Source organism: Homo sapiens, chromosome 3 (assembly GCF_000001405.40).
Source record: "Homo sapiens chromosome 3, GRCh38.p14 Primary Assembly".
In the NCBI taxonomy this organism is placed as follows: Eukaryota; Metazoa; Chordata; class Mammalia; order Primates; family Hominidae; genus Homo; species Homo sapiens.
Genome location: NC_000003.12, coordinates 134528651 through 134541812, shown reverse-complemented (window position 1 = coordinate 134541812; position 13162 = coordinate 134528651). Strand labels below are relative to the sequence as shown.

The window sequence follows — 13162 nt, the reverse complement described above, 5'->3', positions numbered from 1 at the left end:
GGCCAGGCGCAGTGGCTCACACCTGTAATCCCAGCACTCTGGGAGGCTGAGGCGGGTGGATCACTTGAGGTCAGGAGTTCGAGAAAAGCCTGACCAGGATAGTAAAACCCCATCTCTACTAAAAACACAAAATCAGTTGGGCATGGTGGTGCACGCCTGTAATCCTAGCTACTTGGGATGCTGAGGAGGAGGATCGTTTGATCTGGGAGGCGGAGGTTGCAGCGAGCCGAGATTGTGCCACTGCACTCCAGCCTGGGCAACAAGAGCGAAAATCCGTCTCAAAAAAAAAAAAAAAAAAAAAAGTTGGCTAGTATCGTTCATTTATCATTCCATATGAATTTTAGAGTCATTTTGTCCAATCCTGAAAATGTAATAGTCAGTAAATTATATAACCATTTAAAAAACAAATTTAGATTCCTATCAAATACCTTACACTAAAGTAATTTTTAGATAAAATGTATTAAAAAGAAATGATAAAGCATTAGAAGAAATTTGACTTAGGTAAGACTTTATAGTATGATATCAAAGATAGAAACGCTGAACAAAAAATTGATAGAATTAAGCAATTCTAATTAACTGTTTATAAAACAATTGTACTTCCATAAAAAATACTGGGCAAAAATTAAGGTAAATTGAGTACACATACGCAACTGTAACATAATAGCAAAGGGCTTATATTTCATACTTAAGTGTATGGAAAGCTCTTTCAGAATAGTAAAATATAAACATCCGGCCAGGTGCGATGGTTCACGCCTGTAATCCTAGCACTTTGGGAGGCCAAGGTGGGCAGATCACTTGAGGTCTGGAGTTCAAGACCAACATGGCCAACATGGTGAAACCCTGTCTCTACTGAAAATACAAAAATTAGCTGAGCGTGGTGGTGAGCACCTGTAATCCCAGCTACTCAGGAGGCTGAGGCAGGAGAACTGCTTGAAGGGAGGCAGAGGTTGCAGTCAGCCGAGATCAGGCCACTGTACTCCAGGCTGGGCAACCGAGGCTCCATCTCAAAAAAGAAAATAAATTAAGATTTAAAAAAAAAAAAAAAAAATCCTAAAACAAAGGTGAATAAAGGACACAAATAATTTATGAAAAATGAAGATGGCCATAAACAGATGAAAAAAGTCCTCAACCTCACTCATATTAAAACAATGTATATTAAAACAATGGTATCATTTTTTTTCACCTATAAGATTGGCAAAGACAAGCCTAAAAGTGGGGAAAGTCAAAAGAAATAATAGCGCTCAATGTGGGGAAAGTATGAGGAAATGGATATTCTCACATACTGCTAGAGAAAGTCTATCAATCCATCATTGGAGAAAACTTTGGCAATATATATTAAAATATTTGAAGGTACTCTGATACAGTAAATCCAATTCTAGGGCCATTTCCTAAGAAAATAAATACTCCTAAATGTTTATATAAGGATGTTAATCTAAGCACTATTTACAAAAGTGAAAAGTAAAAAACTAAATGTTCTACAATAAGGGACTGGTTACAAATGTCATTATACATTTAACGATAGGGGGGAATTCTACACAATCATTATGACTACAAATCTGTTGACATGTCATATTTAAAAAGGAAAAATTTTAAAGCTGTGACGTGCTTAGCATAGTACCTGTCACTTAGTAAGCATTCTATATATTTTAAAGTTATTGTTTCATGGAAAATTTCAAGCATACACAAATATAGAGAGAGTAAGATGATGAACCCCTATCACACAGCTTCAAAAATTATCAACACTTTGCTACTCTCAGGACTTTTTAAAGTTTGCAACTACCCCTCCTTTCCCATTCACAGTGCATATAGGTTTTTCCTATCAAAAGTACATGAATGTACTGCACACTGTATGTAAGCATACACAAAGTCAGAAGAAATTTACACCAAAATTTTATTCATCGTAAATCTCTTAACGGTAGAATTATGGGTGATTTATTTATTTCTCATTTTATCCGCATTTTCTCATTTTTCTAAAATAAGCATGTATTATGTAATTTTAATAGCTGATTAAAAGAAATGAATTCAAGCAAACATATGTCAAAGAAGGAGAAGTTGTTTCCGAATTATACTTTTAGATGTTAAAAACATATAAGAAAAAAATTATACAGAGATTTTTTTTTAATGGAGGGTAGGTTAATATCCACTTACTCAGCCTCCCAGGTTTTCTACTGTCATTGTTCAATGGTGACCCACCTTTCAACCAAATGCAATACATCAACCTTGACTGGATTCTGACTCAAACATTCAATTGTAAAAAGATAGTTTTCTGGACAACTGGAGAAATGTGAACAGACTGGATATTAAATTATATTAAGAAGTTATTATTCTATTAATGTGATACTGATATATTGTTATTTTTTAAGTCCTTACCTGTTGGGAAATAAGATGATATCTATGATTTGCTCTGTAATATTCCACCCAAAAATAAGAAGTAGGGAATGGTATAGAGTTTCAGTTTGACAAGATAAAAAAGTTCTAGAGATCTGTTGCACAACAGTGTACATATAGTTAACATTACTATACTATACATTTAAAAATGGTTAAGGTGGAACATTTTATGTGTATTTTACCATAATTAAAATAAAGATTGACAAGATGATGACAACTATTAATGCTACTTAATGGATATAGATAAGTTTATTTAGATGTTTAAAAAAATGATGATCATACAGCACTGGTATATACTGAATCACTGAAAGATTTAATTTTATTTAGTTTGCTAAGGGAGAAGGATAAATACATTTATATGTAACATTTTTATTAAACAATCAGACAGTTTTAGGTTAAACAAAACTATCAGAAGAATTAATTCAAACACCCTTAGTAGGAAAAACAAATGTTGGCTGTTGAAAGGCTTCTTACCCTAGCCCTAGCTGAATTACAGTAAGTAAAAATCCCATTTTTACTAATAATGAAGTTTTAATTACATAGAGTCAATAATCACAACAGTAATATGAAATAGGATAACAGTAATTTGAAGAGAGAATCTATAATCAATAATACTCCATGGATAAATAATTGAGAACTGTAAAAATTAAGACTCAATTTGCTTTTTTGTCAATCTGAAGGCTACAACTAGAATATAACAATATCTTGGTCAAGTGTGGTGGCTCACACCTGTAATCCCAGCACTTTAGGAGGCCAAGGTGGAAGGATTGCTGGAGCCCAGGAATTCAAGATCAGCCTGAGCAATGCAGCAAGACCTCATCTCAAGAAAACCAAAAAAAATTTTTTGTTGTTAAAAAAATATATATATACATATATATATATATATATATACACACACACACAATTTCTTATTAGGTCTCTATGGTGCTTTGGCATTCAAGTCAAAAAAACTGGTCCAGACATCTCAGGATTTCACTGGTCTGTCTGGCTGCACAGCTTGCTGTGGCCTAGAAAATAAATTTCTTCCTTGCAATTGTTGTGGACTTTTCCTACCATTTTGAATGAAGTCACTCACAGCAGAGCCACAGCCACTGTCGGTAGTTTATCAGACTGCTGATATTTCAGGGAGACGAACAAAAAGTTAATGCATTATTGAGACTTAAAATAGCAAATAAATGCAGATTATTTTTAAAAACCCAAAAAGCCAAAAAAAAAAAAAAAAAAAACCCTCCCTTCTAGCTATTTCAACTTACCCAGGCTGTTCCCTCATTCTATAAAACTAAGATAACTACCAACCTTGACAGATTATCATAATATTAAACAGAGAACACATACAAGAAGCACTGGGTCAATGTCTAGCACATAACAGATGATCACAAATTTTTTTAGTTTCCTTTATGTTCTTGATTCTAACTGAAAAAGGAATGAGCTGAATATGTTCTTACAAGACATATTCCTAAAGTAGGTGTCTGTTTTTTGGTTTTGCTTAAGCCATTACAAGAAAAGTTTCTATCAATGTTCTAAAATAAGTGTTTTTGTTACCACAAAGACACCACTTTTAGTTGGTGTGCACACCATTGCCATGTGACTCTCTCCGTATCTGTCCGCATAGGCAGACTAACTGAAGCTCCCTAGCTGAGACACTTCGGCCAAGATACCCCAGTGACCATAGGGATGGAGCAAGGCACAGACTATAGTAGAGCTGAGAGACCCAACAAGAGACAGAAAGACATGGAAAAGGAGACAGAGGGAGGAATGGGACTGTGGTAGGGAAGAAAGAGAGGGGAGGAAGAGAGGGCGACAAAGCTAGGGACCAAGATGAGGAGAGTGAACATGGATGCAAGCATAGAGTGAGCCTGAGTAAGCAAGACAATGACAGAGAGTGGGTGAGCAAGTCAGAAACAAGCAAGGAGGCAAAGCAGCAAGCGGGCACAAGGACATGAGCCTGGACAGGAGAGTGAATGCACGCATGTGTGAGGGCAGGCGGGAAGAAGGAGCTGAGTCTAGATGCTGAGGAGAGGCTTCCTAAACAAGAGAGCAGGGTTCGTGGAGAGAAGCTGAAAGAGGCTAAATGGTACTAGGACACTGCATTAAGGTAGTTCAAACTTGATCAAAACCTATCTGCTTCTCATTATTTTAAAAAGTCTTAGGCCTACCTGAATTATCTCTGATTGTTCAGCCAGAGCCTTCCTTTGTGCCTCCAGTGAAGATACCTGTTGCTGATAAATCAAGCGTTGCTTCTCCCAGTCCAGCGATTTCTGACGGAATTCCTGAGGAGGCAATTAGAGTACTTAATTTCTGAGTGCTTCTCCTCACTGTCACTACTTCCCAGACTCCCTTTAACTTTAATTTCTCCCCATGTCCCTGGGTACGCTTGCACCTTTCTCCACAGCGGGAGCCCCATTACTCACTCAGCTAACAGAGCTGGAGAGTAATACTAACTTCCTCACATACTGTGCCTCTGGATATCTGTCTTTCTAAATTTAACACCCTGATGGTGAGGAGTATGACACGCAGATGTTAAGCACTGGATTCAGATGTTTTTCACTGATTTGCTGCCACCTAAGGGTTGTTATAATTTTCTAGTGAATTTTCAGAAAACTGATGCTAAGATAACTAAAATTTTAAAGTATGATTACAGATATCCCTCGCTATCCAAATTCTTGATATCCAGACCCAGGAATTGAACAGATTAAATTTTCAGATAAGTCCCTTGGTAACCCAAATCTTACTTCCCAGTATCTAAAACTAAGGAACCAAGTAGATTCAGATAACACAATATCCTTTGATATCCAAATTTGTATTATCTCAACAGAGGAACTGCAAAAGTTTGAATAACAAAGAAAATCTGTACCAAATTTTAACAAATATTTGTAACCCAAAGCCAAACAGTTCAAAATTAATGATGGATCAATAGTAACATCAAATTGCATGATCAAGAAAGTGATTTCAATATTTATGAAAATGGGGCAAATCAAAGGGAAAGGAAACTCAATCTTTCTATCACTGTCTTCCAGGACCCTCAACTCCAGAAGTCTCAGGCTCCTTAAGATAAGTGTTGTTAACCAAATTTCTGATATTCATTCATTCATTCAATCATTCTACTATATATGCCAGGTACTGCTTTAGGAGTCAGGGATACAATACTTAACAAAACAAACAAAAACCCTAGTCCTACTCAACTGGGGGCAACAGATGACACATTTCTTGTATGGTATAGCAGATGGTAATACACGTTTTGGAGAAAACAGAGCATGAAGTCTTCACAGTTGGGGTTGTAATTTTTAAAAGGGATGGCCAGACTGAGTGAAAAACATTTAAGTAAACACCTAGGGAGATGAGGGTGAAGTTACAATATTCTGGGTGGAAAGAATAGCCTTGAAATAAGAGCATCCTGGTGTGTTTAAGGGTGAGAAAGGAAATTGGTGTGGCTGGAATAAAGTGAATGAAAGGGAAAGTAGGAGAAGACAAGGTAAGAGAGATAACTGGGAATGAGACCACGTAGGCCATTAGGATAACAGATTTTTAAGAGAAGCTGCTGGAAGGTTTTTGTATAGGAAGTGATATAATTTGACTTACATTACAGCAGAATCATTCTGGCTATCATGCTGAGAAAAGAGAAGTCTAGGATGACTCCGAGGTTTTAGGTTGAGCAAATTGAGTTGTTATCAACTAAAACATGAATCAGTGTTGGGGAGATGAGGAAGAGAAAGACAGGACCTTTAGCTTGGACATGTTAAGTTTGACACATTTTAGACATCATAGTGGAGATAGGAAACAGGCAGTTGAAAGTTATTCTGTCATGAAGAGGCGAGGTCTTGGCTAGATATATAAATTTAGGAATTGTCAGCATATACACAGTGTTAAAGCTATGAAATTCAATGGGATCAATAGGGGAGTGAGCGTAGATAGGAAAAAAAAAAAGGAAAGGAAAGGTCCAATGACATGACCCTAGGTGGTTAAGGAATAATGGAGACTGAGGAGTGATGAACAAGGAAAAAATGAGAGAAATGTGGTTTTTCTCAAGCCAAGTCAAGAAAGTGGTTAAGGAGTTGGGAGAGACCAGCTCTCCTACAAAGCTGTAGGTAGGATGAGGAAGATAAGGACCAGCCCACAGGCTTTGGGAATGTGGAAGTCACTGGTGACCTCTATGTGAACAGCTTCTGCAGTGTGAGGGGACAAAAGCCTTATTGAGTGGGTACAAGAACAATGAGACAAGAGGAACTGGAGACAAGTATAGATGACTGAAGTAATTTTTTAGTTATAAAATGGAAGAAATAAAATGGGGCAGAGGAGGAAGAGACGGGTCAAGAGAGGATATTTAAGAGGAGGGAAATTTGGATGCTGGTAAAAAATATCCAGTAGAGAAAAAAAATTAAGGGTGCAGAAAAGAGAAGGTGAACTGCTAAGGTAATGCCTTGGGTAGAAAAGGGGGAGGGCATGCGTAGTTCCTCCAGGAAGGAAGGCAGGGTACATGGGCACAGATGCAGATAGGTGGGTGGACACAAGAGTTGGAAGTCTATAAACAGAAAGGAAGATATAACCCAAAGGTGAGGATGTGGGGAAAGGTGTTGAGAGTTTGAGGAGAAAAGCAGAAGTCTGAAATACTCATTGTGGAAAGTAGGAGATGAGAGGAAATACAGTATGATTCCAGGTAGCATTAGGACCCATTTGAGGTTAGTGACCATGAATTTAAAGTGAGAACAGACAGTATGATTAGGTTTTTCTCTAGCCACGTTCAGCGATACATGACAGGTAGAGAGTGGGCAGAAAGGTGGACTTAAGCAGAACTGTGATTCTGCCAAGCAAATATGAGGAAGCAAGAGAGGAGCACAGGAGATGAAGGGGAAAGTAAAAAATGTAATGACAGAATTTAAAAGCTGGCTAAGGACCGATAAGTGAGAACACCAAGTAGATAATGGAGCAGTAAAAAGGTGGCAGAATTTAATCATTTTAAGGGATGGTTAATGATTACTGAGAGTCAAAGGACTAGAGAGAGTTAGCTGAAAAGATAGGGATTGGTAGTCTGATAATTGAATGCTTGAAAATGAGATTCTAGAGGGGTGGCATATATTGGTAATGACAAGAGCTAAGGAATGGCAGTGGGAATAAGTAGATGAGACACAAAGATAATCAAACTATCTATGGAGGAAAGAAAGCCAAGAAACTGTAAGGTCAGAGTATTATAAGCATCATCTCTCCAGATCCTAAGATCCTCAAAGTTATGATAAGAGTAATGTCAGAGAGAATTGACAGTGAGCTGGGTGCTGAAATCAATGAGCCAAGGAAATAACCCAGAGGTCAGACGATGACTATTTTGGTTGTTATGTTCATTGGCTGGCAGTATAGGCTGGTAACATGAAAATCAAAGATGGGGTTTTTGAGGTAGAAAGAAAAGAGAATAGTCAGGAAGTGGCAATGAGAAGCAAGAAGGATATAGGGTTTGGGGGGAAAAGGTATTGCCGAAAAGGGTGGAAGGGAAGCAGTAGCTGCAGTCTTCTGATTCTAAGCTCTTCAAATGTAAAAAAATATTGAGATATAAAGGAATATTAAACACAGAAATTATAATTTTAAGTAATAATAATATACTGGCATTTGTGGGTGACAGGTCACCCAGAGTACAAACTTGTAAGTGATCACACAAAGATGTTGAACAATGTTTCTCAAATCAGAATAAGCTAGGGGAGCTGGATACAATGCAGATCCCTAGGTCCTATGCCATACTGCTGGATCAGCATTTCTGAGAGCCTAAAAGCACCCTGGGAATTCTTATGTCCAGTGAAGAACTAATGGCAAGGACAGACGAAGAGAATGACAGCCTTGTGCTCTTCCTTCATCTACTCTTGGTACTATTAGCTCACCAGCTCCCCTTAAGTTCTCAATATATACAATAATCATGGAGTTATTCAGTCTTAATAAAAACAAAGTCAGCAGAGAAGGAAGTGAATGCCTTACTACATCTAAATGGGAATTGAGAATAATCTGATACAGAGATTACTTTGTACGAAAAGTGCCATGTACTTTCCACATTTACTAAGCCCCCACTTTATTAGGTGCTTGAGATACAATGATATATAAGACAAGAACAATGTCCATAGAGGACTGCCTATAACTAGTGGTCATGTTTCCCAATTGGAGAGTTACTGGCATTTGAGGTACAATAATCCTTCCTGTGTGGAACACTCTTAGGCATGTTTAGTATCCCTGGTCCCTGTCCCCTAAATGCCAGTTTTATTAAGCTCAGTCATTTTGACAACCAAAAAAATATGTCTCCGTACATTTGCAAATGCTCCCTAAGGGTGGTACTGCCCTGTTGAGAATTACTGATGGCCAGTAACCCCGTTAACCCAGGGAACTAGATGATGATAGGATGTATGGTGGATCACCCTCTCACCTCTGAAATAGCTTAGTGGCAGTCCTTAAGATAGTAGAAAATTGGTTCCAGAAAATAGTGCCATTAGAAACCGCATTTTCCTACGTGAAGGCTGACAATCACTATGAACAAATTATTACTATGAACATACCTCTATTTTTGCAGTTAACCTCTCAATTTCAGACCGATCTTCCCTGTGATTTTTGGTATTTCCTCTGAATTCCCTCATTTGCTTTTTCTGAAGCTTTTCATAGCTTCTCTTCAGTATGCATAACTGTAGAAACAGTTATTTCTATATTTAAAGTTTAAGAATTTGTAAGAAGTAGTGGTGAGACAAATTGGTATTATGAAAACAAGAGCAGTGCTAACCAGTACTACTGAGAACATGTTAGATTTCCAAACTAAAACACAAAAGGAAACTAAAAATTAAATATGTAAAACAAACACTACTAAAGAAATATATTCAAAGAAAAAATTTTAAAAAAAATTTTAAACAAAAGTTTTGTATTACAATAGCCCTGCACTTAAAGACCCTACCACCCAGCCCCACAATAAAGCAGCAAATAAAAACTCTTTTTCTTTCCTCTAGGTCTGTGATTCTCAAGCCATGCTCTTGCAGGGCACTGATATTCAGGATGCAGGAGAAGAGTACTTTGCAATTAAATCAGAATAAAAGCAGTTTTTTCCAAATCTGAAGAATAAAATTGAGTTAATGGACAGAATTTTCTTACTTGTCTTATTTATCCCAAAATGTTTCTTAAATCTTTGGATCCTCCATTATTTATAATCTAGTAACTGATAAAAATTAAAATATTAAATGTAATTTTTGGTATCAAGTATTTCACAGTATTACATAAAAACAGCTCTATTTCTTTCAGGTACTCAACCAAGAAACATATTTTAGCATCTCTTCTAGGTAGTATCAAACCTACAGTTAGGCAAACCTCTTTACCTGGATTAAAGAACAGAGAAATGGATTCCCACTCCTGTATCTTTGATGGAGTATGTATTTCCCACTTTACAAAGTAGAAACTGGCTTTCATTAACAAAGTTCTCAAGGGTGAAAGAGAGAGAACTACACACACAACATTTAACAAAACTAAAATCTCACTTCTTCATGTAGTTTCTTCAACTCCTGCTTATATTCCATGGTCATCTCTTGCTTGATTTTTTCATGTTCTTCTACCTGCTGATGCAACATTCCAACCTAAAAGCAGAAAGGTGGTAGTATTTTTCACTATTAGCATTGAAATAACATCCCTGAGATATAAAAATAGAAAATAATCTCTGTATTTATTTGTAAATTCAAGTTCTCAAATGCATATATATGGTGATACCCCACTTCTTAGGAAGTCAAATACCTAGTTATTTAAGAATTCTTTACACTGCCAAAAAATAGTGAACAAACAGCTAGTTTTTAGAATTTCTAGGTTTAGATGAAGACTCTCTCTCTTTTTCTTTTTTTCTTTTTGAGATGGGAGTCTCACTCTCGCCCAGGCTGGAGTGCAGTGGTGCAATCTTGGCTCACTGCAACCTCTGCCTCCCAAGTTTAAACAATTGTCTGCCTCGGTCTCCCAAGTAGCTGGGATTACAGGCGCATGCCACCACACCTGGCGAATTTTTATATTTTTAGTAGAGACAGGGTTTCCCCATCTTGGCCAGGCTGGTCTTGAACTCCTGACCTCGTGATCCACCTGTCTCAGCCTCCCAAGGTGCTGGGATTACAGGCGTGAGCCATCGCGCCCGGCCGAAACTGTGTCTCTCTGTCTGATTATCCTACTCAACCCTTTTCATCAAAAAAACTCATGAAAATAAGAAATATAAAGTGTTGAGAGTCCTGGAAACCAACAATACTTCATAAAAAATCTAGAAGACCTTAGGAATAATTTCTCTACAATAAAGTACAGAATAGTAACGTCAGACAGGAAAACAAAAGGAGGTTTGTGCCTGCTTTACCATTCACCCAACTCCAGAGAAACGAGTTCCACCAACCATGGTAAGGAAGTTATCCTAACCCACTTTTCAATGATTTGATACCAGTGACACCTATTTTCTGCCAAGCCTTCACCTCCACAAGTATCCAGCAGTATTTCTTTTAATAACCAGCTAGAATTTCATCTACTGGTAAGTAGGGAGGGAGAGGGAAAACAGGGAACACAAGGGAGTAAACAATCACAATCTACAACAGTAAATTTTTTTAAAGTACTAGAAATAAGCTACTTATAAGAATGAGGACTAAATGCAATTCCAATAAAAAATTATAGTGGAATTTATTTTTGTAAGAAACTTGAAAAAGTCATTCTAAAGTTCAAACTGGAAGAATGGGTAAATACAGCCAATAAAATGGAAAAGTCTAGTTTTAAAAAAAGATGTAAGTGAATGATGTAACTGAATTTCTGGATGAAAGGAAATTTTCTGAGCTTAAAACTAATGAAAAAGTAATTTTAAAATGATAAATTTAACCATGTAAAACTTCTATTTTTAAAAAATCCAATTAACAAAATTAAAAGGTAAATAAATTGAGAAAAATATTTACAAAAAAATCAAAGGGCTTTTAACTTTTAGTACACAAAAGACTTACAAATTTGTAAAAAGTATTAAGCTCTCAACAGAAAAATAACTCAAGGACAAGAATGATTCCCACAAAAATATAAATGTCCAATAAACATGAAAAAAGGCTTAATTTCACTAGCAATCAGAGGAAAACATCCAATGGCATTTTATATCTATCAAATTAGCAAAGATCTTATAAAACGAAACTTGTGCGGGTAAGTTATCTGGAATCAAAGACCCATAAAGTGCTGAAATACAAAGCACATGACTTTTCCAGAAAGCAATGTGGGAGTCGATATTAAAACACTTATAAATATTCTTAACCTTGTTGGGCGCGGTGGCTCATGCCTGTAATCCCAGCACTTTGGGAGGCTGAGGCAGGCGGATCACGAGGTCAGGAGCTCAAGACCATCCTGGCTCACACGGTGAAACCCCATCTCTACTAAAAATACAAAAAATTAGCCAGGTGTGGTGGCGGGTGCCTGTAGTCCCAGCTACTCGGGAGGCCAAGGCAGGAGAATGGTGTGAACCCAGAGGACGGAGCTTGCAGTGAGCCCAGATCGTGCCACTGCACTCCAGCCTGGGCGACAGAGCAAGACCCCGTCTAAAAAAAAAAAAAAAAAAAAAAAATTTCTTAACCTTGACTTGGTAAACACTACTTTTAGAAATCCATGTAAAAAAAATAAATGTAGAGCCAGGTAGAGTGGCTCACACCTGTAATCTCAGCACTTTAGGAGGCAGAGGCAGGAGGATGGCTTGAGCCCAGGAGTTTAAGACCAGCCTGGGCAACATGGTGAGACCCTTTCTCTACAAAAAAGGAAAAGAAGAAAATAAATGTAGATGTTAAGAATTTGTTGGGGCCGGGTGCGGTGGCTCACACCTGTAGTCACAGCACTTTGGGAGGCCAAGGCAGGCGGATCACTTGAGTTCAGGAGTTTGAGACCAGCCTGGCCAACACGACAAAACCTCATCTCTACCAAAAATACAAAAATTAGTTAGACCTGGTGGCAGGTGCCTGTAATCCCAGCCACTCAGGAGGCTGTGGCACAAGAATCGCTTGAACCCAGGAGGTGGAGGTTGCACTGAGCTGAGATGGCACCACTGCACTCCAGCCTGGGCAACAGAGTGAGACTCAGTCTCAAAAAAAAAAAAAAAAAAAGTCAATGGGGATTTGTTCTTTTATAAAAACTGGACAAATTGGAAAAAATCTGTATGTTTATAAATAAACTGTGAATGAATATAATGAATGAATGTACATAATAAAATATGCAAACATTAAGCTGTATTAAAATAGTTAACATGAAAAATGCTTACCATTTAAAAGACATATCGATATAAAAAGTATACTATACTAAAATCCCAATTTTGTGAAGGATTTTTACTGAAGTCTACTTACATAGCTTAAAGGAAATACACCAAATGTTAATACAGATTAACTCTGATTCAAGGTATTATGATTATGTTTTGCTTCATAGTTGGTCTTTTCTAAATTTTCTCCAATGGCTACTGCTTTTATTAGCAAGAAAAGAACATTTTAAAAAAGAAAAGAAAAGAGGCTGACCCTAAGCCCACCTACTTTGCTTTGATAAAGATCATGAGGACTCATCTGTTTGATTAAAACAAGTTGAAGAGTCTTAACTATTCGTATTTCCTAGCCCACAATCCACCAGAAGATCCAAAATTAGAAAGTATGGTAGGTAGAAGGGGTAACTGCAATGCTCAGCAGAAATGAGCAATAGCTTTTAGCAAAGACAGAAGAAAAAAGGGAAACAGATTATCCCAAAAGGAGACTCATGTCTACACTGCTATAACCCGTAAAGACAAAGCACATCAAGCACATCAGTATGT

The 13162-nt window shown here is 37.3% G+C and overlaps 1 protein-coding gene across 61 annotated transcripts in view; it reads right to left on the bottom strand.

The window, feature by feature from the left end:
* Positions 1-13162, bottom strand: part of CEP63 (centrosomal protein 63) — a 296836-nt gene that overhangs the window by 240747 nt on the left and 42927 nt on the right. For 60 of the 61 annotated variants that reach the window (NR_148355.1, XR_007095732.1, XR_002959589.2 and 57 more), the window contains 3 exon segments: positions 4545-4658; positions 8913-9035; positions 9873-9968. Coding sequence is in view for 49 of the 61 variants with exons in the window: in NM_001353113.1 (NP_001340042.1) it covers positions 4545-4658; positions 8913-9035; positions 9873-9968 (333 nt within the window). In the remaining 12 variants the exon portion in view is untranslated. 61 annotated transcript variants of the gene reach the window in all.